At 46.2% G+C, this 27,471-nt stretch overlaps 1 protein-coding gene across 14 annotated transcripts in view, besides 10 other annotated features; it reads right to left on the reverse strand.

Moving 5' to 3' along the window:
- TBC1D2B (TBC1 domain family member 2B) overlaps window positions 1-23,783 on the reverse strand; it is an 82,727-nt gene extending 58,944 nt beyond the window's left edge. For 8 of the 14 annotated variants that reach the window (NM_001387143.1, XM_011521387.3, NM_015079.6 and 5 more), the window contains exons 1-2: window positions 23,365-23,783; window positions 106-259 (exon numbers count right to left, since the gene is read on the reverse strand). In NM_001387143.1, the coding sequence (NP_001374072.1) occupies window positions 106-259; window positions 23,365-23,724 (514 nt within the window). In that variant the 5' untranslated portion in view covers window positions 23,725-23,783. Of the gene's footprint in view, window positions 1-105; window positions 260-12,097; window positions 12,254-23,364 lie in introns of those variants that run through there. The other 6 variants (NM_001387149.1, NM_001387146.1, NM_001387145.1 and 3 more) reach the window with 2 other exon arrangements.
- Window positions 2,957-3,076: an enhancer, noted in NCBI's record as "active region_9901". NCBI's record gives its function as "activates an Ori minimal core promoter by ATAC-STARR-seq in GM12878 lymphoblastoid cells {active_cell/tissue: GM12878}" and the evidence as "EXISTENCE:reporter gene assay evidence [ECO:0000049][PMID:35858748]".
- Window positions 8,141-8,250: an enhancer, noted in NCBI's record as "active region_9902". NCBI's record gives its function as "activates an Ori minimal core promoter by ATAC-STARR-seq in GM12878 lymphoblastoid cells {active_cell/tissue: GM12878}" and the evidence as "EXISTENCE:reporter gene assay evidence [ECO:0000049][PMID:35858748]".
- Window positions 11,642-11,781: an enhancer, noted in NCBI's record as "active region_9903". NCBI's record gives its function as "activates an Ori minimal core promoter by ATAC-STARR-seq in GM12878 lymphoblastoid cells {active_cell/tissue: GM12878}" and the evidence as "EXISTENCE:reporter gene assay evidence [ECO:0000049][PMID:35858748]".
- Window positions 12,207-12,256: an enhancer, noted in NCBI's record as "active region_9904". NCBI's record gives its function as "activates an Ori minimal core promoter by ATAC-STARR-seq in GM12878 lymphoblastoid cells {active_cell/tissue: GM12878}" and the evidence as "EXISTENCE:reporter gene assay evidence [ECO:0000049][PMID:35858748]".
- Window positions 12,537-12,586: an enhancer, noted in NCBI's record as "active region_9905". NCBI's record gives its function as "activates an Ori minimal core promoter by ATAC-STARR-seq in GM12878 lymphoblastoid cells {active_cell/tissue: GM12878}" and the evidence as "EXISTENCE:reporter gene assay evidence [ECO:0000049][PMID:35858748]".
- Window positions 15,060-15,139: an enhancer, noted in NCBI's record as "active region_9906". NCBI's record gives its function as "activates an Ori minimal core promoter by ATAC-STARR-seq in GM12878 lymphoblastoid cells {active_cell/tissue: GM12878}" and the evidence as "EXISTENCE:reporter gene assay evidence [ECO:0000049][PMID:35858748]".
- Window positions 15,170-15,219: an enhancer, noted in NCBI's record as "active region_9907". NCBI's record gives its function as "activates an Ori minimal core promoter by ATAC-STARR-seq in GM12878 lymphoblastoid cells {active_cell/tissue: GM12878}" and the evidence as "EXISTENCE:reporter gene assay evidence [ECO:0000049][PMID:35858748]".
- Window positions 23,259-23,458: a silencer, noted in NCBI's record as "silent region_6702". NCBI's record gives its function as "represses an Ori minimal core promoter by ATAC-STARR-seq in GM12878 lymphoblastoid cells {active_cell/tissue: GM12878}" and the evidence as "EXISTENCE:reporter gene assay evidence [ECO:0000049][PMID:35858748]".
- Window positions 23,659-23,868: a silencer, noted in NCBI's record as "silent region_6703". NCBI's record gives its function as "represses an Ori minimal core promoter by ATAC-STARR-seq in GM12878 lymphoblastoid cells {active_cell/tissue: GM12878}" and the evidence as "EXISTENCE:reporter gene assay evidence [ECO:0000049][PMID:35858748]".
- Window positions 24,019-24,068: a silencer, noted in NCBI's record as "silent region_6704". NCBI's record gives its function as "represses an Ori minimal core promoter by ATAC-STARR-seq in GM12878 lymphoblastoid cells {active_cell/tissue: GM12878}" and the evidence as "EXISTENCE:reporter gene assay evidence [ECO:0000049][PMID:35858748]".

The raw sequence follows: 27,471 nt of genomic DNA on the forward strand, positions 1-27,471 counted from the left end.
TATTATTTTCTTTCTAAATTCATTTTCATTCACTGCTAAGTTCATATGTGGTATCGAATGGCTTACACAAAGAACTGACCCAGCTCCCCTTTATTTCTGCCTTACCAGTGTTATCTCTGGCTACAAGACCCTTAGGAAAATCCCCGGGAGTTGGAGAGGTCCTGCTGTCCCACTTGACCATGTCAAGACTGTTACAATATTCCCATCTCTTCTGCTGAAGCTCCTGTAACCAGTAAGTCATGAGTTGACGATTGGGAGCCTAGAAAGAGGGAGGGGAAAAACATGTTATGGCCACCAGTAATATGAAGAGCTTAAAAAATATTATGTCTCATGAGTAGACTGTTCAGCTTGCCATGTGAGAGTTAAGATGAACAGATCAAGGAAACTTCAGTTACAAGATTAGTAGCTTTTGCTCATGATGAGTTGGTCAAGCAAATAGCAATTGTAACATGAAGAACTGAACCCAATTAACAAGAAGTCTTTTTAAATTCTGAAATTAAAGAATAATGCAGTATAACATTTTCCTCAAAACCGTTTAGGAAGATGTGATAATACTGCTGCTCTTTTACTCTGAGCAACTACAAATTCCATCTTCAAAAATAAAATCTGACATAGGTATGAAAGACGGCCTTGCCAAATCACATCAAATAATGATATTTAAACTCCATCAGCATCTGAGAGTATACAAAGAAAACTGCAGATTAAAAACGAGCTGGCACTCCTATTAAAATGGCTAATATTTCAAAAAGTTGACAATGCCAAGTGCTGACAAGGGTGCAGGGCAGCTAGTACTTTCATAAGCTGCAGGTGGAATGCAACATGGTGCAGCTACTTTAGAAAACAGTTTAGCAATTCCTTATAAAGTTAAACATACACTTACCAAGTAACCTGGCAAGCCCATCCCTACATATCCACCCAAGAGGAATGAAAACATATTCACACAAAGACCTGTATGTGAATGTTTATAGAGGTTTTATTCATAATTGCCAAAAAAAATGAGAACTTTGTCTGGAGAAAGGATTAAAAAAAACTGGTACATCTATACAATAATATACTATTTAGCAATAAAAAGGAGCACACTATTGATTCCTACTACATGGATAAATATTAAATGCATATTGCCAAGTGAAAGAAGCCTGACCCAAATGGTTATATACTGTATGATGCCACTTATGTAACACCCTGAGAAGGCAAAATTGTCAGGACAGAAAACAAATATGTGGTTGCCAGGGCTTGGCAGGGAGGGGAGCAGCTGACTACAAAGCGGCAGCACAAGAATTTGTGGGTGACAGAACTGCTATGTATCATGGTTCTGGGTAAAGTCATGATTCTACACATTTGTCCAAAATCACAGAATTATATACACAAAGAGTGAATATCATTAAAAAAAAAATCAACCAAGATGGGGGAGAGGACCCAGAACAATGAACCTAAATATAAATAAACTAGACTGCAGGTATGGGTCAAGGTCTCCAGGCTGCCCCCAGCAAAGGAGTCCCAAGAAGAAGGAAAGCTGCCATGACACGATTATGGGAACTTCATCAACACTGGCATCCAGTGACATGTGCAGACATCAGACACAGTGGTTGCCAAGATCAGAGGCAGTGAAGAAAATGGCTCTGCAGGCCTGACAGCAAGAGATAGCCCTAGACCAAACTACTACTACCTCCAAGCAAAGGATAACCTGTGGGTGCTGTGACCACAACCTGGGTCTTTTTAGTGATACTTGCACACCTGGCCCCAGTTAAAGAAAAGGATCTTTGGGTATTTTCATTACAGGATCTTTGGGTATTTTACAGAAAGTTCTTCCAACTATACCAGCCAAGTTGCCATTTCATCCATTCATTTAACCAACATTTGCTGAGCACCTATCAGGTACCCAGACCTGGGGCCTGGCCTAGTGAGAAAGACAGGAAAAAACAACCAGTAGTTTCCATGTTGCATTAAGTGCTATGACAGAAAGCAGAGCAGGCGACGCGGGGCTGGCGTGACTGGAGAGCACTGGGGAAGGACACATAGCCAAAGAGGGGAGGTGCAGCAAAGGACAAGGTACTCAAAGTTCAGGACACCTGCCATAGGCAGGTTCAAAAGCTTCAAAGTATAGGTTTAATGTCTATCTTCTCCAAGAAACAAACTCCAAGTTGTCTCCATTTCTCTAGCATCTAGCTCAGTGTCAGGCACATAGTAGGTCAGTATTTACTGAATACATATATGAAGGAATAAGTGAATGAATGAATAATCAGAAAATGATACAGGAGAACTTGGTCTTAAAGGGGAAGCAGGCAGTGGCCAGAGGAAAAGAGATTCCAGGGAGAGAGAGAAGTGTCTACAAAAGAACAAAGGTCAGAGAGCAGGAGTGAGGTGAGGTCAGTGAGTGGCAAGGACCTGGCCCTGAAGGGACTTGTGTGCCTTCCTAAAGAGATGGAATGGGGAACTTAGCAGGGCACTGACATTATTAGACAAAGGTACTGCTGGTGAAAATGGTGGTGAGGGAAAGGCAGGTGCACAGTTTGCATAGGAGGAGATTAGTTCAGGCCAGAGGCCGTGAGCCCACTTGGGAGATCCATGAATTGCAGCCTGGAGTTTGGGAGGCAGGCTGGTTGCAGTGCAGACACAGGAGCTCAGCCTGGCCCTGGGGCGGGGCAAAGAGCACACAAGCATTTCCACAGGAAGGGAGAGAAGAGTCACTAGGCAAGTCAGGAACTGAGAGACACAACCAGAGCCAAATTCAGAGCCCAAAGCCCACCCAGTCCTCCTCTTTTTTTTTTTTTTTTTTTTTTTTTTTTTTTGCAGATGAGGGGACAGAGGCCCAGAAAGGGAAGTGACTTGTCTAGGTCATACAGGGAGTCAATACTGTGAGCCCAGTCTGCCAAACCCCCAACCCTTAGAGGCAAGTGTGTGTTTGGGTGGGGGAATGTGCGTGTGTGGTCCTCCCACCAGCTCCCTGACTACCTGGCCCCTCCATCCCCATGCCACAGGTGAGCTAAGCACCCTGGGAGCCTTCTGCTCCAGCCAGGGAGGTGCCCAGACACTTCCTCTTGTTCAGCCTGCATATGCAGCTGTGTTTCTATTTATGCTCGGGAGCCACAGGCTGCTAGAGAAGCTGGCACATACTCACTAGGGCATATCTGAACCAACCTCTCCAGCTGCCTCTGACAATGCAGGCACCATGAAAAATCTGCTTTTTACAAGAAATCCTTTTCACTTTAAATCTTTGAGTATTAAATGTAACTGGGAAACAATCAGTAACCTCTGAGTCATCTCTCACTAAATTCCTGAGGCAAAACTTTTAGATCACATGCTTTCAATGACTGATATTTTATCATATTGTAGAAATTTGGTCAATAAGATGGGCAAAATCTGGTTAACAAGTCAGTTAATCAAGACACTGATTAACTGGGTTTGTTTCCTTTCAAAAAAAAAACCTAAACAGGCTGCTATGGCGGCTCACACCTGTAATCTCAGCACTTTGGGAGGCCGAGGCAGGCGGATCACCTGAGGTCAGGAGTTCGAGACCAGCCTAGCCAACATGGTGAAACCCCGTCTCTACTAAAAGTATTTTTAAAAATTAGCCAGGCGTGGTGGTGGGTGCCCGTAATCCCAGCTACTTGGGAGGCTGAGGCAGGAGAACTGCTTGAACCCAGGAAACGGAGGTTGCAGTGAGCCGACACGGTGCCACTGCACTCCAGCCTGGGCGACAGTGAGACTCTGTCTCAAAGAAAAAAAAAAATCTAGAGATCACTAGAAGACTTTTGACTTCAATCCCCAATTAGCTAGTAAAAGGCTGGGGGCCAGACTGTCTGAAATGGCTCTGGGGCATGTGCTTTGACAGAAAAGCCCCAAAGGGCCTTTTCTGAAGACAGCTGAAACCCAAAGACAGAAACACACACAGGTTCTAAGACTGAGCACCACTAAAAGTACAACACAGCAAAATCAGCAGAAATCCAAAAAGCCTCTGCGTTTTTTATCTGGTATCTTTTAGCAAAGGACTAAATGGAGATTCGGCTCAGGCCTAATTAAATGTATAATCACAAACCAGCCTCTTTATCGCCCCAGTCCCAGGAAATTGGTTCAGATCTGCCCTGTACCAACACAGTAGCCCTAGCCAGACGTGACTACTGAGCACATGAGAGATGGCCAGTGCCACATAAAATCTTTTGGATACACTGAATAAATACGATAGTATTAAAATTAATTTTACTGGTTTAATGTGGCTCATTGAAAATTTAAAAGTATATTATGTGGCTCACATCTTATCTTTACTGAACAGTGCTGGTCTACACTACAATGGCAAATATATTCCATTTTGAGAGCCAAGGTTGGTGGGAGATCTGGCTTGGCAGGAAACAGTACCTCAGGATTATAACATAAGCCAAGGGCATGGGGTCCACGGGGGTGTGGGGCAGCCAACACCATTGCCCTTCTACAGCACTTTACAACTCAAGATAACTTCTCTCTTTAAACAGGCGCCTCCATATCTCCAACCACCCCATGGTCCATTAATGTCCAAGGAGAGGCCAACATTCTTTAGGAACCCAGGCATCTGCTGGTCTGGCCCCAGCTATAGTGCCTTTATTCAGTGCTCCAAAAGTGGGGCGAGTAGGACCTTTGAGTGATCTGGCTGCACAGACAACGCCTTGCTAGGTCTATCACCAGGAGTTCCCTCCGCTGAGCCTCAGCTCAGCTGGTGACAATGAGCCAGTCAGCGCAGAAGCTAACGGCCAGGACCACACAGCATTCACCAAAGACACGCCCGCCGGAGGAGTGAGGACCGGGAAGGATCACCATCTGCCCCCCACCCCTCAGAATGACCAAAATGCTGTGGTCCCAAGTTCTGGAGAGCCAGACAGGCATTCCACTCATGCTAGAAGAAACAGTGACAAGGCAGAGCTCCACAGATCAGCAGAGAATTGGGAGCCGATGCCAGGCAAGCACCCAGCAAGAAGCCAGGTGCTGGTGTGTGCTGTCTGATGCCTTACCTAGGCCAGCTCCTGAGTCTCCCCTAACACCCGTCTCTCCAGCTCCTTCCTCCTCACCCTTCAAGGTCCAATGCAAAGGCCACCTCTTCAGAGCAGGTTTCCCTGACCTGGGTGTGCATTTTGTCTCCCCTAACACCAGTCTCCTCAGCTCCTTCCTACTCACCCTTCAAGATCCAATGCAAAGGCCACCTCTTCAGAGCAGGTTTCCCTGATCTGGGTGTACATTTTGTCTCCATTCTCTGAATAGGGAGCTCAGAGAATCTTGTAGCCCAGGTAACCCTCCCATGGAGGTGAGGGCACTCCCTGTGTGTTCCTCACTAACCCAAGTTCCTTAAAGGCAGAGACCAGACCTGCTGGTCTCAATACGATCCAAGATGTCTTGCACAGTGTCCTGAATATAAACACTCAAATATCTGACTCATCCTCTCATGTTCAATTGTTGCTACTTCCTCAATACTGCTGAAATCCCAGGTCAAATATGGCACCAATCCCAATATGAGACCAAGCTGAACATCTTGGAAAGCCATTGTAGTTGTCTCCTACATGGCTGCATGAACGTCCTGGGTGAGGGAGAGGGGCAGACAAGGATTGGGTGGGCACAATTCTACAGGACAGCCATCTGCTGCCTTTGGGGGCCAAGACATGAGGCACCAGCTCGGAGAATAAAAGCAAGCCATCCACATTCTGCTTGAGGTGGGAATGCAGTCCTTGACAGCTGGCTGAGAAGTACCATGTGATGCCCCAGCTGCTCCCACAAGCTGCTGTCCCCAGGTCTCCAGTAGCTCAAAACCCAGAAGCCCACTCTTGTGTGAGACAGGCCCTGGCCACCTGTTCCTCCTCTTGGGCCCCAGAGACTCCCCTCAGCCTCCCACCAGCTCTCAACTTGATGCTTAGACAAGTCCCACAATAAAGTTGTTTGATTACAAGTTAACTGATTTCAATACACGTATATTATGGGCCCACTCTCAGCAGGAAGTACATGATTGTGAGGACAGGGGCTGGAGTAGCAACCCAGCAGCATCTACAGGGAGTCGGGCCTCATCATCTCCACTAAACAACAAGTTTATCTAAGCTTTTATTCCCTTTAGTAAACAATGTCCACCTATCAAAATTTACCACATTTTAGAAGCTATACTAATGTTCACATTCTTTGACCCACAATTCTATTCCTGGGAATGTAGCTAAAGTAGTCCAAAAGAGGAAAAAGGGACAACACCATGTACATAAAGTGTTCATTTGCTTAACAAATGTTTATTAAGAGCCTAACTTGGGCCAAGTCCAGTAGTTAGCACTAAGAATACAGAACTGGATGAGATCTGGTTAATTCCTACCTCTGAGATATTCACCGCAAGCAAACATTTTCCTTTATGCCAACAATAAACAGTGGGAAACAAGTTTATAATTACAATCAACATAAAATGCCTAGGTATCCAATTAAGAAATCCAGAGGCCAGGCGCAGTGGCTCATGCCAGTAATCTTAGCCCTTTGGGAGGCCCAGGTGGGTGAATCACTTGGGCTCAGGAGTTTGAGACCAGCCTGAGCAACATGGTGAAACCACATCACTACAAAAAAAAAAAAAAAAAATTAGCCAGGCATGGTGGCGTGTGCTTGTAGTACCAGCTACTCAGGAGGCTGAAGTTAGATGATCCCTTGAGCCCAGGAGACAGAGTTTGCAGTGAGCCGAGATCTGTACCCAGCCTGGGCGACAGAGCAAGACCTATCTCTTGGTTGGGCACTGTGGCTCACTCCTGTAATCCCAGCACTTTGGGAGGCCGAGACAGGCAGATCACCTGAAGTCAGAAGTTCGAGACCAGCCTGGCCAACATGGTGAAACCTCGTCTCTATTAAAAATACCAAAATTAGCCAGGTGTGGTGGCACACTCCTGTAATCCCAGCTACTCGGGAGGCCGAGACAGGAGAATCGTTTACACCCAGGAAGCGGAGGTTGCAGTGAGCCGAGATCGCGCCACTGCACTCCAGCCTGGGCAACAACAGTGAAACTCTGTCTCAAAATGAAATCAGAAGACCCTGTCTCTTTAAAATATAATAATAATAGGCCAGGCACAGTGGCTCATGCCTGTAATCCCAGCACTACGGGAGACAGAGGCAGGCAGATTGCTTGAGCCCCGGAGTTCAAGATCAGCCTGGGCAATATGGTAAAACCTCGTCTCTATTAGAAATATAAATTTACCAGGTGTGGTGGCACACTCCTGTAATCCCAGCTACTTGGGAGGCTGAGGCAGGAGAATCATTTAAACCTGGGAGGCAGAGATTACAGTGAGCCAAGATTGTGCCATTGCACTCCAACCTAGGCAACAAGAGCAAAACTCCATATCAAAAACAAAACAAAAGACCCTGTCTCTTAAAAATATAATAATAATAGGCCAGGCACAGTGGCTGACACCTATAATCCCAGCACTTTGGGAGGCAGAGGCAGGCAGATCGCTTGAACCGAGGAGTTCAAGACCAGCCTGGCCAACATGGTGAAATCCCCTCTCTACAAAAAGTACAAAAATTAGCCAGGTGTGGTGGTGCATGCCTGTAGTCCCAGCTACTCAGAAGGCTGACGTGGGAGAATTTCTTGAGCCCAGGAGGTTGAAGCTGCAGTGAGCCATAACTGTACCACTGTACTCCAGGCTGGGTGACAGAGCGAGACCCTGTCTCCAAAAATATATATATAATTTATATATATATTATATATAATAGCATTAGGACAACTGGTCAAATACCTGGAAAAAAAATAAGTGATGCCCTGGGTGAGAAACCTATCATCAGAGAAAATAATTTCAAATTCAATTCATGATTTAATAAACTAATGAATTTAATAAAAACCATTAAATGAATGAATTTAATAAATTTAATAAAAACCATTAAATTAGAAAAAAAAAGCCTGTATAATTAAAATTAAGTTCCTGTCTCTTTCTGCCTCTTACAACAACAGTTGTATAGATTTCCACCAAATTATAAAGGTATGGAAGGGATGACAGGACTTAAATCAAGCAATGTGGCACAGCAGAAATTCACACGGGAAGGTTTAGCTAAAACTGAAGTATAAACAGCAGCCACAAGACTCTATGCAGAAAATGAATGCCATGTGCACCATGATGCACTAGACGAGGAAAACAAAACACTCTGTCAAGACCGAGCCCAAAACTGAAAGCTAGAAGGACAGACACTTCAAACTGTAAGCCCCGGAGCTGCTTCTCCCACGGGCAACCCTGCAAGCCGTCTCCAGGCAGCAGGGAGTCACTGATTATAAGAGGGCTGATTAGTCTCCCCAGCAGCACAAGAAACTGCTGTCCTAACATTTCTATTCTCTTGGAAGGTAAAGGGCTTTCTAAACCCACAAAGAAAGCAAAGCAAAGAAAATATGTGTCTAAAACACTACAAATAAATTAATAGACAATGACGAACTGAAAAAAGACCAAACAACTTCAAAGTCACTAAGCATGGTGTAGAGTTTCACACCACTATAGCTTTGCAGGGCTCTTCACTCTTCCTGGACTGTGGGAAGTCCTGTTTGTCTGGTGAGATCCCATTAATCTTTAGTTTTAAAAAACAACAACATATTTTAGACTTATATTTCAAATAATAACAATCTACATCTGCTGAGGAGAATTTGGAAAACACAGGAAAGCAAAGAAGAAAATAAAATGAACATAGCTGCATCACCAGAAATAACCTCCATCAATACTTTGGTATTTCCAAACATCTTTCTACCCATAAATGTATAGAAAATTCTCTACCCATATATTTTCTACCAATTTTCTAGCCAATTGGTAGAAAACCAATTTTCTTTATAAAACTGTATTAAAATTATATAGACTCTTCCATAATATATATTTGCATATTATATTAGACACCATCAATTAAACAATTACTGTGTGCCAGACACTATGCTTTCGCTTTATACACACTGTCATTTAACCCTCGTAACTAACTCTCCCCAAACAGTATCATCTGCTTGCCCATGGACCCTGGAGCCTAACTACCAAGGTTCAAATCCCAGCTCTGCTACTGGCTGGCTATGTTAGGTATGTTACATAAATTGTCTGGGCCTCGGATTCCTTGCTGGTAAAATTGAAATAATAATAATAGGAACCTACTTCATGGTATTGAAAATTAATTAGTTAACATGTGTTAAGCTCAAAAGGGTGTTTGGCACAAAGTACTCATTAGGTATCAACTATCTATATTATCATGTTTACCGATAACCCACTTAACATGTGTTAAGCTCAGAAGAGTATTTGGCACAAAGTACTCGTGTATCAACTGTCTATATTATCATGTTTACCCATGATAACCCACTTAACATCTGTTAAGCTCAGAAGAGTATTTGGCACAAAGTACTCACTGTGTATCAACTACCTATATTATCATGTTTACCCAAAATCTCATAGCCACTTGGCACAGTCAAAACTCAAACCTGAGTCTGCATTACTTGCTATCAAGGGGAAGGATGAGAGAGCATGTCCAAGACAAAATCAATCCTCTCAGCATTTTAGCAGAAATCACAAGTTCCTCTATGGTTTTTCTCAAATATTGAAATGCTGATGGCCTCAATCAATAGCAAAGTTCAAATAAAAGCCTCTAGGTTGGCTTCAGGGACAAATAAAACTATATCAGATGCTGGTCCCCACATCAGTAGAGAAGGTCCTCTGGACATTAAATCTAGAGGGGTCAGCATAGTGTCACTGGGAGAGGGCATGACCATCAGTCTATGATGGCCAACATGGTTCCACTCTTAATCACAACTCTGCTCTAAGGGTGTTTCTCAAAAATAGACTGCTGTGAGCAATAACAACACCACACACAAGCAAATATGGAGAGGACAGAAACTTCTCCAGTCTGATATAATAGAATCGCCAGGTCTCCTATTCCTAAGGACTCCCTTGTCAGTCTCTCAGATTCATGCATCCTGACAGTCTCAGAGTCATCTACCCCTGGGCCTCTGGGTCTCCAGATTCATCTACCCCTGGGCCTCTGGGTCTCCAGATTCATCTACCCCTGGGCCTCTGCAACAGCTTCCTAACTGGACTTGCTGTCTCAGTCTCTCCTCTCCAAACTCTCTTCTGACACCAAGCCAATGAAGTCATATATGTCGCATGCTTAAAACTCTCTCATGGCTTCCAAGTGTCAAGAAATCTGGCCCACACTGCCCCACACTCCACAGAACTATAACCTTTCTCCCACACAAAAGGCCCACAAAAGCCTTCACAATCTCTGCTCCTACTGCACTAACACCTCCCTAACAAATTCCCACTCACTCAAGACCCAGTTCAAACATCTCATCTGTAAGGCCAGCCAACATCCCTTATACAACCAAACGATCATTCCTCCAACACGCTCTATGTGACGCACACCATCTCAATCACCCACTTAGGGTTATGAACTCTGGGTTCCTTCCCAAAGGGTCAGGTCCTACCATGTTTATTAGCCAAAAGAACAACATAACCAACAATCACGAAGGAGCCACAGGAAGGAAAATATATATACAGAATAGGTCAAGTCTGCATACCTTCTAGAAAGCAATTTAAATTACATGGATAATTTTGGGTATCCATTTCTGAAAAGAATGCGATGGCTGCTCATAATGAAGGAATTTTTGTTTCTTAAACTCAAGGAAGATATTTGGATCTCTAAGAAATGTCTAAAGTAATTTCTTCCATAAGCAATAAAAAGCACAAGAATATTGTAAGCAGCCTGGTAATACAAAACAAAATTCAAATGGAAAACAGACTCTAACCCCGAATCTGATAAATAACTCTAGGTTCCAAATTTTTTCCTGAGTGTTTCAAAATCATGAGCCTGGAAACAATCTCAAGGGATCTGGCCCAGCACCAATGGAAAAAAAAAATGTATTTTTTTCCCCAGGAAGGTTTTGAAATCTTCTGTTTCAGCCCAGCAACAGAGACTAAGAAGGCAAATACTGGATCTCCTGGCTCCTTGGAAAATGGAATACAAGGTCACAAACCTCCATTCCTCTACTGAACATAACAAATTCTCCTTTCGTATCTTTTAAAATTGCTATCTTAAAATTAGCATTCATATGTCTTACAAAATAATTGTATCTTATTAAAATAGTTCTAATCTAGCCCCTTTCAAAGGCTGAGCACACACCTAGAACCCATAATCAATTTCCCGGAAGAGTCTGTGTTGAGGTGGGCAGTCATTCCCTGGGAAGATGCCACATTCATCATCCATTCTGGTAGGTGGTGGTCTGAGGAGTTCTGCCATCTCTAACACTCAAGCACCCCTTTTAAAAAGCAAACACCTTGAGAGAAAAGCCATTTCTTAAACCCATATTCAGCAAATACATTTTTAAGCAAATACCATTTAACAGAGATTAGCAACTAAGGGTAATGGACTAGAAGAATAGGGCCTACAACTAGAACAAAGAAGAGCAAATGTGAGTTCACTGGAAAGTGGGCAATGAAAACAACTGGGCTTGTGAGGGATCTGGCCACATCAAAGCCTCTCACAGCCCAGGCCACCCAGCTGGGCTGAGCCACAGATTTCATCAAGACAAGGGCAAGGACAAGGCCACTCTCCGGACATGCTCGTCCCTACAGGAAATGTAGAAGCCTGTCAAAATACTTTCTGTTTCAGAGAGAAAGGGAGCACGAGGCCTCCAAGTGACCACAGGGCTACATTCCTATGGTTCCCTCTCAGCTCTGCCATTGCACAATGTGAGAGAGCCAAGGATGAGCTCAGGATAAATAACAACTCCTGCAGCCACAGCCTGTAGCCTATTGGATGGTCTTGCTCCACCTCTGCCCACATTGGCTTCCACACACTATGCAATACCACATTATTCTGCTTGATGTTTTTCAACTAAAACTAGGGCAAAAGAATGACTGACTTAACATGAAGTTTTAGGAAACGGAGTTGGGACAGGTTCCCAGGCTCCACCCACCAGAGATTTGGGAGGCAGTGGAGCCAGGTACCAGGAACCCGCCTAGTCTTTCAGTGAATTTACAGGAATGTTTGGGAACCACGGTGATTTCTAACAGTGTTTTAAGGTGGAGTTGGTGTCTCAGGAGTATCAGATGGTCGTCCTATATCATTGTTACCCACTTCTCTCTGGTGAAAAGCTGAGGGATCTGAAAGTACTTACCAGCTCTTTGGTGGTGGTGATCATTGCAATTCACCCTCCCAGAAATACCGAAAGATGCCAAGTGAACACTGTTCCCTCCTGGAGCCTCCCTCTGAATGCTCAGGAAGGAACCCTAGCACGTAGGGTCTGCCAGCCACCATGATCAGCAAAGGGGACAGAAACCTTGGGGCCAATGGAGAATTGGGCCAAAAGCCACTCCTCTGCAGCATAGAAACTCAGAATGCAAAGAAGATATGCAGCTATAAACCACAGAGAGTCAACCCGAGGATGGAGGGCTCACACTTCACTGGTCTTCACCCAAGCAGTTTAGTTATTTCTAGTCCACTTAGAAAGCCACCATCATACAGGGTCAGTCTTTTCTTCACAGCCAAAGAGAACATTCATCATCGGGAGGAGAGCAGTGTTTCACAGGGAAGCCACAGAGATCTGCAGCAGAAGGGCTGGGATGCTGGAAAGAAAGGCAGATTCCTGAGGCCCACTCTGGCCTGCCAACTAAAGCAGAATCTCCAGGGGACGAACCCCACAATCTGCATTTTAACAGAACCCAGGAGGAGTCTTTTCCACACAAAATTTAAGAACTGCGGTTCTGAGGGAGATATTTTCCTTTAAAAGACAGAAACAAAAAAAGTCTTATCAGCATGTTACCTCTACAACAGTATATACAAGAGAGCTGTGTAAACAGTATAAAAAGTGGTTCACTTCTAAGGCCAGAGGGTATGCCTTACAGAGCAGAATGAAAAGATACAGCCATCTGCCAACTGCCTGTTTTCCTTTGACGAACCAAAGAGAAAACCAAAGCCACCTCCAAAGAGAAGCCCTCTCAAAAGGGATGCACCAGGCCTCAATCTCTGCCAGGGAAACATCACTGATGCCTCCTATCAAGTCAACCCCCACTGGAAGTTTATAACCTATGCTGTTAATTTCCAACCTCCATGTGACTAAACTTCTTAAATCTGTGCCCCAACACAAAATGGTTAAAGGTACAATTTGAGTCTCCATATACAACTACTAAAAAAAGAATAAGCCCAATTTTCTACTAATGGATTACGACAGATATATAAAGCAAGTATCATCAAACTGCTGGGTTTAAAATGGTAAAATATCGTTCATGTGTTTGGAGAAGGAGAAGGTTTCAGTGGTAGGGTAGCTAGCTGTGGGACTCAGTTTCCTCTCTGTATCACACATGGGAAGGGGGCTGATCTCTGAGGGCCTCTCCAGTTCTAACTTTGGGATAATGACCCTTGAGCAAAAATAATGAATGCCTTCCTCCAGCTCCCAGAGCCACCTATTGACAATGCCCTAATCACACCCAAAACAGACACAGAAGCTCCCTGAGGCCAGAGGCAAAGCTTGACTCCTGCTCAACAAAGTCTGTTTGGTGAATGGCCAGTTGGCTGCATCCATTTAGAAAGCTGGCCACCTTCTCTGCAAGCACAGCCTCTCCTGAACACCAGAGAGCTGGAGAGGAAAATGAATACTGGGCTTGCTGCCTAGAAATAATTCCTATAATCCAAGATCAACATCTCTGATAACATTAGCCTGCCCACCTCCAGGCCACGGCCAGGCCTGCCATCTGACACTCAGCAACACAAGTCCCAGCCCAGGGGCAGTCTGCTCAAGGAAAGTCTGCTGGTACAGTAGCACTGGCCTAGGAAAGGGGCAGAAAGAAGAAGCACACAGGATCTCAGCTACCAAATCCCCACTTCTCACACTGGATTCTAGTTCTCCCAGGCAATCTCTGCAAAGGCTAAGAAAATGGCCAAGCATGCAAACTCATTAGAAGATGGTGATTCCCAGCTTACAGGGAACACATGTTGCTGATCAAACAGGAACTAAGTCTTTGAGCAGCTACACAATTATACCAACATTTACTAACTCCCTTGTCCCATCTTCTTCAGGGAGCTTTCTTGATAATCAGTTATACAGAACTCTCCAATTCTGCAGTGTTCACCAAAATTATTACACAAATCACAGATTTCTGGCCCTGGGCCATATCCAGATTAGTATTTTACATATGGATGCCCCCTCCCCTTCCTTTACTATGGAGAAGTGCCAGACTTCTCAGAATCAAAAAACTTGCAGACATGTGATATTTATCTCAGTGCTGAATACTACAGACAAACATGGGCCTCTTCAATGTTTTTTTCAAAACTCTTACAATTCTTTGATTATATCAGATGCTAAGCTATTTTTAAAGTTAACACTACAGTTTCTTAAATCAATGGAAAATTTTCACTGCTGTATTTGCAGCAAGCAGCATAGTGCTTAGAATATGATAGATGCTCAAAAATATTTGCTGAGTAAATGGACACTACAAACGTCCGTTTCACCATGAAATGAAAGCACACACACCACACCCACACACACACACACACACACACACACACACACACACAGAGGATATGAGGGCTTAAAGCATGCATTTAGCCAACAAGCATCTAACAGGTGCTGGGATCCTCTAAGTATGAAAGGCACAGTAGTGAAATACACTGACAAAATATCCTAGGAGGTGATGCTCTGGTAGGACACAACAGCAGACACTCAAAGACTAGACCAGGAGCAAAACCATCCTGAATCTGTAGCCGACTGAGGGCCTCCTGTGCTGGCTGGTGAGCTACTGCCTGCTGGACAATCACGAAAGCCACAGTCTCCCCAGGGATCCTCTCAGCTTCTTGCCCCTCACATGGCCTCACATATCTGAATGCCAAGATGTTTACTGAACTGAGCACTCCAGGCAAAGTACTTCACAGAACACTAGTTACAAGCCACTAACTAGTCACCACTACCCAGTTTACCATTTCCACATTGCATTCACTCTGTGAAAGCAAACAAAACCCAGCTGAGGGCTGGCCTGACAGGATATGGGTGAACACCCGATCACATGTCATTAAGATCCCACTACATAAATACCAGAACCGAAAATTGCTAATGAAAATGCCTCTCCCTCTCCCAAACTGACAGTCACTTCTACAATGGTGGGGGTCTTTTTCTTTCTTTAGAGGAAGGGGGTGTTACTGTTTGTATTTTGTTCTGACTGGAGGTGGGAAGTCTGCACCCCAGTGGCTCAAAGGTAAAAGCAACTGATCGAGGAGACTGGTCCACCCCCCTCAGACGTGAGGTGGGAGCTGGTACATCTGAATACTCCTTCCATTTCTCAAGAAATCGTCATCTCCACAGAGGAAGGAAACTGGTAATGTGCATATGAGCAAAGCAAGTGCAGCAGGAGAGAAGTCAATGCCGGGGGCCATTAGGAATGCTTCAGGAAAGGAAGTCCACCAGGGCGGGCCGGCCCTAGCCACACACACACCTGCCAAAGCGAGCTTCACCCATCACAACACCCACCACTCAGAAACAAAATTAAGAAGCAACTGCTCAAGATAGGTTCAGCTTTGCATTTATCTACTTTTAAATCTGTTTGCCAGTACATAACATATAAATACATCAACCCTTTGTACCCAACACGATAATCCTCTAACTTAGTTACATAAAAATACTAGGCATGACCAAACCATCAGTGCCACAGTCCAAACGTGTGTCCCCGCAAAATTCACGTGTTGAGACCCAGTCCCCAAGATGATAGTACTAAGAGGGAAGCCTTGTGGGAAGTGATTTAAGTCATGAGGGCAGAGCCCTCTGGAATGAGATCAGGGTCCTTATGAAAGAGGCCAGAGTGGTAAAAGGAATTTGAGGAGAAAAATACATTTAGATAGATAGATACATACATACATATATACAAACATACATAGATGGAGGCCCCAGAAGGAACTTGTCTGTCCCCTTCTGCTATGAGGACACCACTAGAAGGCACCACCTCTAAAGCAGAGTGAGCCCTCACCAGACACCAAATCTGCTGGTGCCTTCATCTTGGGCTTCCCAGCCTCCAGAACTATGAGAAATAAATTTCTGTTGTTTATAAGCTACCCTGTCTACGGTATTTTTTCACAGCAGCACAAATGGCCTAAAACAATCTATCTGGGAGCAGAAGAAAGAAAACAAAAACCTATTTGTCAAACCCTGCTTAAAACTCTTTACTGACTCTAGCTCTTAAGATGAAGACCAAAATCCTGCCCTGGCCCAAGGCCTGCCTCTTCCAAAGGCTATGTCCCCTTCACTCCTAGTTGCCACCAGGCACTCCTTGAGTCCCACATGCAACCAGCACCCCCACCTAAGGGCCTCTGCTTATGCCATTTCCTCTCCCTACAACACTTGACTTCCTCCTCTCCACCCCCACCCCCGCTCCAGTCAACACCAACTCATCCTTTGAGTCTCAGCTCAAATGTCGCTTCTTCAGGAAAGTCTTTCCTAGCCCTCCACCAACCATAAACCAGATCAAGATCCTGAACTATACATGCATTGCATATCTTTCCTTTCAAACTTCCTAGCACTGGTTGGTGTTTGTTATATTTTATTAACGTCTGTCCCCCCCACCTACTGAAAGCTCCAGGAGGACAGGGACTGTTTGTCTTGTCCAGTCATATCCCCAGTGCCTAAGCACACACAGTGAGTGAATGAGTGGGAAGCTCCTGAGGCCTTCCTAGAACACAAGTCAGTGAACTACAGCCTGCGGTCATTTCCAGTCTCTGCCTATTTCTGTACAATCTACAAGGCAAGGGCAGTTTTAACATTTTTATTTTGCTATTTTATTTTTTTGAAACAGGGTCTCCCTCTGTCACCCAGGCTGGAGTACAGTGGAGCAAACACAGCTCACTGCAATGTCCACCTCCTGGGATCAAGCAGTCCTCCTGCCTCAGCCTCCCAAGTAGCTGGGACTAAAGACATGTGCCATCATGCCTGGCTAGTTTGTTTTTTGTTTTGAGACAGAGTTTCGCTCTTGTCGCCCAGGCTGGAGTGCAATGGCGCCACCTCAGCTTGCTGCAACCTCTGTTTCCTGGGTTCAAGCAATTCTCCTGCCTCAGCCTCCCAAGCAGCTGGGATTACAGGCATCCGCCACCACACCCAGCTAATTTTGTATTTTTAGTAGAGACAGGGTCTCACCATGCTGGTCAGGCTGGTCTCAAACTCCTGACCTCAAGTGATCCACCCACCTCGGCTTCCCAAAGTGCTGGGATTACAGGCGTGAGCCACCACATCCAGCCACACCTGGCTAGTTTTTTTTAATTTTTGTAGGGATAGGGTCTCACTTTGTTGCCTAGGCTGGTCTCGAACTATTGGTATCAAGTGATCCTCCCATTTCGGCCTCCCAAAGTGCTGGGATTACAGGAGTGAGCCACTGTGCCCAGCTAACATTTTTAAATGGTTGAAAAAAATCAAAAGAATATTTTGCGAAATGTGAAAATTATATGAAATCCAAATTTCAGAGTCCATAACTAAAAGTTAAAACACAGCTATACTCATTCTGTGGTTGTTTCTGTACTACAACAGCATAGTGACAGATATGGCAGAGTGCGCAAAACCTAAAATAGTATGTGGCCCTTTACATAAAAAGTTTGCCTCTGCTATAACAGTGTCCTTGGAGTCCTGACCATGGGCATGAAATATATGAGACCCGAAAATATGGAACTGACTGTAAGCTCTCTCCTCTGGGGAAGGGTGAGTCATAACCCCCTTTTGGATTCCTGATGTCTGTTAAATTCAGTGGGCATTCACTGAATGGCTGCCACCTCCATGACATGAGGCAAGAATGGCATGTAATACACCTGTATATTTGGGAGTTCTGGCTGATCACTTCTAAAGGGTCAGGGCTCACACCAAAACCAGTGCTTACTGGGTGACCATTTTCTATTCATTCATGCAACAAATGTCTACCTGGGCACCTTACCTTAGTCGGTTCAGGCTGTTATAACAAAAACACCACAGACTAAGTGGCTTAAACAACAGAAATTTACTCAGTTCTGAAGGCTGGAATGTCCAAAATCAAGGTGCTGGTCAATTTGGTTCCTGGCGGGGGCCCTCTTCCTGGTTTGCAAAGGAATGCCTTTTTGCTGTATCCTCATAGGTGGAAGGGGAGATCATCTCTCCAGGGTCTCTTTTTATAAAGGCACTAATCCCATTCGTGAAGGCTCCACCCTCATGAGTTAATTACCTCCCAAAGGCCCCACCTCTAAATATCATCACACTGGGAGCTGGCACTTCAACATACGAATTTTTCAGGAACACAAACACTAGTTTATAGCATGTCTCCTTTGTGCCAGATACTGTTGCAGGAGCTGAGGATACACACAGTCCTTAGGGAGCTTACCCTCTGGTTAGCAGGAAATAGGATGGAGACTCCCCTGCAATGAGGACTGTGTGAGGCAGTGGGAGAGGGAGACGGAATGCCACTGTGATATCACAAGCACAATACTGGACTTGCCTTGAAGGAACTTACTAATTGGAAAGCCATGAAAAGTTAAATTCCCATAACTTAAAGAGTTAAATAATGCTTCAAGACTGAGCAGATGCCCTAGGGCAGAACAGCTTAGAAGAACCAAACAGCAAAGGAGGCTGGTTCACCACATCTATTTTGCACTGAAAACAATATGATTACCCAAGCCGACAAATGTTTGTCATTAAGAGAAATTTCAACACCAGGGAATGTGCATTCCCACAAAAGTGGTTAAGAATAGGGGTACACAGCTATTCAGTTACGTGTGGCTCAGAAACCAGTACACATGTCTATTTAGCACCAAGCACCTACGGAGGGAGGAATTCATTTGCTGACGGTCTGATGACGCTCTCTTGCTCCAAAGTCTGCAGAGATCTGGAAGATCAAGGCTGTTTAAGCTTCACCCTCGGTCAGTCACATGCTCTCCTTCCCCTAAGTGCCTCAGATTCCAGTAAAGCTCTGTGAGAAGCCTCCAGCACCCCTACACACAGAGAGAGACGCACACAGGAAGCATCAGCCTCTGCTAGACCCTTGCAGCAGTTTCCAGACATGTCCAGCAAAAGGTACTAGGCATCCTGGTAAAGAACTGGGCAGTAAAATGTTCCCTTGTGATACCCACTATCCAAAAAGGACAGATATTAAATGCAATAGAAGGAAAGACTACTACTACGCCTTATCCGATCCCCAACAAAGTCAAAAAAAAGCAGACTTGTCAGAACAGACAATACAATTAGATACTACACATTTTAGACATTCACTATTCCTGGAGCCTCTACTTTCAGAGAGGGTCTGAGTCTAGCTTCATGATGTTGGCAAAATCACATCCCCTCTCTAGCCTCTATTACCTCATAAGGCACCAGATCAAATCCCTAAGTTTGGGAATAGAGGAGTTTCCCAAGAAATTCCTATATCAGCTTTCATTAAGACTTACATAGAAAAACATTTTGAAAAAGCCCAACAAAACCACAGCTTCTCCAGAGAGAGCTGAAAGACACTTTTAAATAAGAAAAACATATGATAATAGAATAAGAAAAGTGCTGATTTTTCTTTACTTTTTAACCCTCTGTGATAAGAAATGGTATTTGTAAAATTATATACCACTAGCTGAAGTCTGAGCAGGGCTAAATCCTAACTTAAAATCCTTAGAAATCAGGGTCTCCTCTATGGCTGGGCAGCCCTAAAGTGAAACATTAAGGCTTAAGGGAATCAGTTCTTGCATTTGAAAGACGAAAAGGAAGATAAATTGGTAATTTCCATACTTACACCATAAAGATTTTACTCCTACAGCTCAAAAGAAATAACTGTACAATGAAATTTAATTTTCTTAAAACACACGCCTGGCTGGGTGCGGTGGCTCATATCTGTAACCCCAGCACTTTGAGAGGCAGAGGCAGGTGGATCACGAGGTCAGGAGTTCGAGACCAGCCTGGCCAATATGGTGAAACCCCGTCTCTACTAAAAATACAAAAATTAGCTGGGAGCGGTGGCACGCGCCTATAGTCCCTCAGCTCGGAAGGCTGAGGCAGGAGAATTGCTTGAACCCGGGAGCCAGAGGTTGCAGTTAGCAGAGACTGTGCCACTGCACTCCAGCCTGGGCGACACAGCAAGACTCTGTTTCAAAAAAAAAAAGGGAGCAGGGTTTTAGAGTCGGGGTGTTTTTTGCTTGTTTGTTTGTTTGTTTGTTTGTTTTTAAGGTGGAGTCTCACTCTGTCGCTCAGGCTGGAGTGCAGTGGTGTGATCTCGGCTCACTGCAACCTCCGCCTCCCGGGTTCATGCAATTCTCCTGCCTCAGCCTCGCGAGCAGCTGGGACTACAGCGTGCGCCACCATGCCCAGCCAATTTTTGTATTTTTAGTAGAGATGGGGTTTCACCATATTGGCCAGGCTGGTCTCGAACTCCTGACCTCAAGTGATCCACTCGCCTCGGCCTCCCAAAGTGCTGGGATTACAGGCATGAGCCACCACGCCCGGCCTTCTCCTCCCTTCTTCCAGAAAGCCTTGCCTGATTTCCATTCCCATTGTTGTATACAGCCAACACTCGGTACTATCTTATTCTGTGACCAATTTAATTTTACATGTCAAAATATTCCTCCATTGTCAGTAACCCAAAGGAAAATGTATTTCCTTTCTTTAAAAAAAGAAATATTCTGAACCTACAAAAAGATGGATAGCATAATAGGACAAACACTGATATACCTATGACCCAGTCCAAGAAATAAAACACTGCAAAACAGGAGAAGCCCTGAGGCACCCATTCCCAATCACATCCTCCCTCTTCCCATCACAGGCAACCACTACCTGGAAACCAGAGCTCATCAGCCCCATAAAGCTCTTCCCCTCGCGAAAGAGCATACATCCTTATGATCTGTAGTACTGTTTCACATGATCTTCCTAACCTTTCTATAAGTGGTATCATTCTGAACACAATCAGTGTGTAACTTACTTCTTGTTCAATTTTATTGTTTGTGAGAGTAATCCACGTTGACACCTATAGCTCTAGTACCTTTGTTTACTACTGCATAATATTCCACTATATGAATACACTACATATTTGGCCAAAGACACTGCTTGATGTTTCATATGCCATGTAGTGCCTACTATTTTCCATACCACTATGGAAAATGCGCCAGCCATTTTCCATAACATTCTCCAGAATCCTCACAGCCACCTAATGAGGAAGGTATGATTCCCACTAGACCAAAGAGGAAACTGGAGCAGGGAACTGGTGTAATTTGTCCAATATGTGTGAGCAGCAGACTCCTGCTTCAAGTTCAAGTCCATCGAAGTTTAAAGCCACACTTCTGACAATGCGCCTTGTAACCCTGCTTATGTAGATTCTTATTTATTATTTTTTTTTTAATTTTTTTTGAGATGGAGTCTCACTCTGTCACCCAGGCTGAGTGCAGTGGCGCGATCTCTGCTCACTGCAAGCTCTTCCTCCCGGGTTCACGCCATTCTCCTGCCTCAGCCTCCCGAATAACTGGGACTACAGGCACCCGCCACCATGCCTGGCTAATTTTTTGTATATTTAATAGACATGGGGTGTCACCGTGTTAGCCAGGATGGTCTCGAGCTCCTGACCTCGTGATCCACCCGTCTCGGCCTCCCAAAGTGCTGGGATTACAGGAGATTCAGATTATTTTAATGAAAAAAACTGATAGAGTTCTACAGTCATCTGGGAAAAATGTGAAACACGATGCTCTATTTTCTTTAACAAACATCCCACAGGAAATTCGTCCGACACAGGGACAGCCCGTATGTACACTGAGGAAGAGCCTCTGCCTTTGGCAAAGGTCTCCCACTAGGGTCATTACCAAGTTTATACAGGCACTCTCTAAGTAAGCCTGTGTAGGACTGCAACCCGAGTTGGTTTTCTTTGGGGAAACAGGCTGTCTGCACCCACTTACAGACAGGACAGGGGAGCCCAAGAGAACATGGGAATCAGATCCTGCTTGAACTGGCAAAAGCTGAGTCAGCAAAGCTCTAAGAACATCTCCAGGGAGCAGCTCCAGCTGTTAGCAGCTCTGGGGGTCTGAGGAACAGTCCTCAGCTCACAAGGCCAGGAGTTTGCCTAGTCTGCTCTCCGTGTGGCCAGCTTTGAGAGCACTTTCATACATCCCAGCCCAACCCTGTTGCTCTGGAGAAAGCCCAACCTGGAATACGGAAGAGGAGTGAGAGTGAGGGTGGAGACTCACAGAAACCAGGCAGGGAGCAAAGCCTGGAAAAAGGATACCCAGCTCCAGGCCTGGGCCCAGATCCCTCCAGATGCTCAAAGCAGGTGGGCCCCTAGGAGGTGACAGTCTAGTCCCCCAGAACTCCCAAGGACAGGGGAGGCCTTTCAGCACCAGGACTCCTGACTCTACTCTCCTGCTTCTACACTGTATCTCTCATTTTGTCTGTCCACTGGAGGATTAAGGGAGCCTCAAAGGAGCAAGGCATAACTGGCTGAAAAGACCCCCTCCCACCCATCCTGGACAAAGCAAGGAGGAAGAACACAGGATCTGCCACCTACTGGCTGTGTGACCTTAGCTGGAGCATCCCCGTCCACTCTGGAGGAAAATGTAGTGGACTGTCTCTAAGGGCCCTGCCATCTGACTCTTTCTGTCTACAGTGCTAAATGCACTCTGGCTCACGCCTGGCATCCCAGCACTTTGGGAAGCTGGATGGGGAGGATGGTTTCGGCCCAGGAGTTCGAGACTAGCCTGGGCAACATAGTGAGACCCCCGTTTCTTTAAAAAAAAAAAAAAATTTAATTAGCCAGGCGTGGTGGCCCGCACCTGTGGTCCCAGCTACTTGGGAGGCTGAGGTGGGAGGATCTCTTGAGCCCAGGCATGGAGGCTGCAGTGAGCCGAGATCGCACCCCTGCACTCCAGCCTGGACAACAGAACAAGATCCTGTCTCAAAAAGAATAAATAAACAAATAAATAAAAGCACTGACATTTACTGAGCAGTTTAAAGTATAATTCATTTAATCCCAACACCCCATGAGGTAGATACTACTGTTATCCCATTTTACAGAGGAGGCCGCTGCAGCCCAGAGCGGTTCACTGAGGTACCAAGGCCATAGGCAAAGTTCTAAAGGAGGCCCCAGGGGTAGAAGCCTACGCTCACGGATGCCTGGGAAGGCTGCACAGGACATCCACGGGATGGTGGGGGTCGGGAGACACCAGAGACTGGCCCGAGGTTAGGCGCAGAGGGAGATAATGGGTCAAGGTGTCTGAGAAAGGAGACGGGGCTTGGTAGCCCCAGCGAGACTGGCCTAAGCCCAGATAGTGGGGAGGAGATAGGAACGAGGGCGGGATGTGGAGAAGCAGGGAAAGGCAGGCCGACGTGGGCAGGGGCGAGGAGGCCTTGGAGGAAGGAGGGTGGATGGCGCAAGCCAGTGGCGGAGGCAGGGGACGCCGGCGGAAGCGCGCGGGCGGCTTTGGGGCGAGCGGTCCCACCTTGAGCACCGTGACGGCTCCCGCGCTGTGCACCTGGAAGTGCGCGGGCGGCTCCGTGCCCGGCTCCGCCGCCTCGTCGGGGCCCTGGTAGCTGAAGCAGGCGTCCGCGATGTCCAAGTGGCCGAGGGGCAGCGCGTCCTGCGGACTCTTGAAATAGTAAAGGTAGCAGCGGCGCGCGTCGAACACGAACCAGCGGCTGCGGTAGCCACGCAGGGGGCCCTTGCCCGACAGCTTCTGCAGATAGCCACACAGCCGCGCTGGCTCCCGCGCCGGACCCGCCCCGGGCTCCGCGGCCGCCCCCTGCGCCGCGCCCTCGCCGCCGCCGCCGCCCTCCTCCGCCCGGGCTCCGGCCCCCGGCATCGCTACCGCGCGCCAACCGTAGGCGCCCGCGCCCTGCGCCTCCGCGCCGCGGCCGCTGCGCCCCCTACCCCCTCCGCACCGCCCCTTCGCTCCGCACGGCCCGCGGGCGCGCAAAGCACCCTGGGACTTGTAGTCTCGCCCCCGCCCGCCCGCCGGCCGTTGCCCCCTCAGCCCCCGGAGGCAGGGTCCTGCGACCAGCACCCCGCGGGTCAGTTGCCTTCGTGCCACCTGGGCTCCAAGTCCTCGCCCTGCCGGATGAAGCAATGGTCTATTTCTTTATGGCAGTGTAGGTACATGGGAGTGTGCATCTCTCAAAACCCAGCGGAGTGTCCGCTTAAAACTGCATTTCACACTGTGTATCTTATTCTAAAAACTTGATATTTAAATCTCCCTCCTGCCAGAGTCTCAAGCTAATATTGTAAAAATGAGACAGCCTATTGCCTGGTGCTGAGTGGGTGCTCAGTAAATATTTGCAGAATTCATGAAAGCCAAAGCGTTTCCTGCCTCTCCAGACCTCAGTTCATTTATTGAATTCAACATATATTTATTGAGCGCCTTCTGAATGCCGGGTACGGTTCTGTATGCCAGGCCCTGGCGGATACAGCAGTGAACAAACCAATCATTCTCCTGCCCTCGTGGAGGTTATATTCTAGTAAGGCAGGGAGGTGACACACAAGAAAGCAGATAAAAGTAATGTGTGCTATGTTGTATAAATGCCGTGATGACATGTAAATGATTACCGCTTAAAATAGCACCTAGTATTTATCAGTGCTTTATAGACTAACTTATTTGAACACTCACAACCTGAGAAGGCAAATCTATTGCTTTGTAATAAAGCAAAGAGAAAGAATGAATAAGACCAAGTATTTGCTAGCACAACAGGGTGACTACAGTCAAAAATAATATAATTGTACGTTTAAAAATAACCAAAAGAGTATAATACAGACGCGGTGGTTCACGCCTGTAATCCCAGCAGTTTGGGAGGCCGAGGTGGGTGGATCACCTGAGGTCGGGAGTTCGAGACCAGCCTGACCAACATGAAGAAACCCTGTCTCTACTAAAAATACAAAATTAGCTGGGCGTGGTGGTGCATGCCTGTAATCCCAGCTACTCGGGAGGCTGAAGCAAGAGAATCTCTTGAACCCCGGAGGTGGAGGTTGCAGTGAGCCGAGGTTGCGCCATTGCACTCCAGCCTGGGCAACAAGAGCAAAACTCTGTCTAAAAAGAAAAAAAAAAGTATAATAGGATTGTTTGTAACACAAAGGATAAATGCTTGAGGTGATGGATACCTTACTTACCCTGATTTGATTATTATGCATTGCATGCCTGTATTAAAATATCTCATGTAACCCATAAATATATACACCTACTATGTTCCCACAAGAATAAAAAATAAGTAAAAAGCAAAGTGAGAGGATGAAGTGATGGGGGGCAGATAGCAGGCTGCTGCCCCAGGACAGGCAAGGAGGCTGGTCTGATCCTGTGACATGGAGCACAAACCCAGATGATGGGAGGGACAGGGGCAACCAGAAATGTGGGTGAAGCATTCCAGGGAGAGGGAATAGTGAGTACAAGAGCTCACTTTATTCAAAGGAAAAAGGAAGTGTATAGCTACATAGCTACATTTGTGAAAGCCCAAACCAAATATCTCACCCTCATAGATTTGCATGTTTTATACAGACACACTGAAAGACCCAGGTGGAAAACTGACCTTTCTGAGCTGGACAGGGACACAAATTAGACTGCCTGTTTGGAGCCACCCAGGTAGGAAGGGCAGGTTCTGGGTCCTCACCCAGCCTGCCGACTCTCTGCAGGCCCTAAAGTGGCACCACGCAAGCATTCCTTTCCTGGGGCCCATCAGAGGTGTGGCTGACCTCTCCACCTGTCTTTGAGCACAATCAGCACAGTGTTAAGGACTGGGCTCTGACTTCACACTGACCAGATGTGTCTCCTAGCTCTGCCACTTACCAGAGGCATGACCTTGGGCAAGTGATTTAACCTCTCTGGGCCTCAGTCTCTTCATTTATAAAACAGGGTTGATAAATACAAGTAGCTATCTCGTGCTGTTGTTATTGAAAGGGTTACGTGAGAAATGCATATGAAAGTGCTTAGCACGGTGCCTCACACATAGTAAGCACTCAGCACATATCAGCTGTTATTATTATCATCTTGCAGTTAACACCGATGTCTTCCTCATCAGTCAGCAGATTCGGAGAGGGGGAATCCAACAGTCAGACCGGGCCCAGACAAGGGAGGCCAGACACTGCGGTGCTGCGGGAGTGGAGTGGGCTGCTCTCGGGAGCAAGGGGTCCCAAGTTCAATTTGGGCCTCACCATGTATGTAAAAGGGGCTGTGACTAATTGGCTTGTGGGGTAGGCAGTCAGGGTGAGGTCTGACCTTGAAATACTGTGGGAAAGGGAAGAGCTGGGAGAACCCGGTCTGTATTGCCATGGTACAGGGAGGCAACAGGACAGGGGAGGGTGTAGCCCATCTCTCCTAGATCTATCAGTAAGTTATAAGGAAGTGGGGGTGGCCATGACCTGTGGTCCCAGTGGACAGGACCAAGCCCCATGAGGTGTCTCACGGGGGCCGATGTCTGCTAGGCCCGAGGAAGGCATCCTTCACAGGCACAAGCCACGAGCCCCCCTCCTGGACTAAGAGTCTGGGCTGGCTGGCCAGGGCTAGGCAGATGGGACGGGACAGGGGTGCTGTTTTAAGCGGTAATCATCTACATGTCATCACGGCATTTATACAACATAGCACACATTACTTTTATCTGCTTTCTTGTGTGTCACCTCCCTGCCTTACTAGAATATAATCTCCACGAGGGTAGGAGAATGATTGGTTTGTTCACTGCTGTATCCGCCAGGGCCTGGCATGCAGAACCGTACCTGCTGTCTGTGCCCCTCAGTGGGCAAGCTGGACTTCAGCCTGACTCCCCTACACCTGAGCCTCCAATCCTTCCCTGGTCACCCAGCACAGATGAGCTGGGGCCATTTTAAAATGCTTGCAGGGCTGAGTGTGGTGGCTCACGCCTGTAATCCCAGCACTTTGGGAGGCCAAGGAGGGCAGATCACAAGGTCAGGAGTTTGAGACCTGCCTGGGCAACATGGTGAAAACCAATCTCTACTAAAAATACAAAAATGAGCCAGGCACGGTGGCACGTGCCTGTAATCCCAGCTACTCAGGAGGCCGAGGCAGGAGAATCGCTTGAGTCTGGGAGGAGGAGGTTGCAGTGAACCAAGATCGTGCCACTGCACTCCAGCCTGGGTAACAGAGCAAGGCTCTGTCTCAAAATAATAATAATAATAAAAATAAATAAAATGCTTGTAAGCCACTGCCCTCTTCCTTCTGGAGGCCACACCTGACATCATATCAAACATATTAAAATGCTCTACATCCCGTAGTAAACATATACATAATTTTTGCTATGAAAATGTTTTCAGGAATATCCATAATTGTGCTCTTGATATTATCTAATTATGAGTTTTCATTTTCATTTTTAATTGGCTGATTTCTTGGCAATCATCGTGTCTGTGTGGGAATTTTGGCCAAGTGAGAGAAACCTAACCTAGAAATTGTTCTCAAATGTAATGACCTTTTTTTTTTTTTTTTTTTTGGAGATGGGTCTCATTGTGTCACCCAGGCTGGAGTGCGGTGACGCTACCTCAACTCACTGCAACCTCCCCCTCCTGGGCTCAGGCAATCCTCCCACCTCAGCCTCCTGAGTAGCTGGAACCACAGGTG

The sequence above is a fragment of the Homo sapiens genome, chromosome 15 (assembly GCF_000001405.40).
Source record: "Homo sapiens chromosome 15, GRCh38.p14 Primary Assembly".
Taxonomy (NCBI): Eukaryota; Metazoa; Chordata; class Mammalia; order Primates; family Hominidae; genus Homo; species Homo sapiens.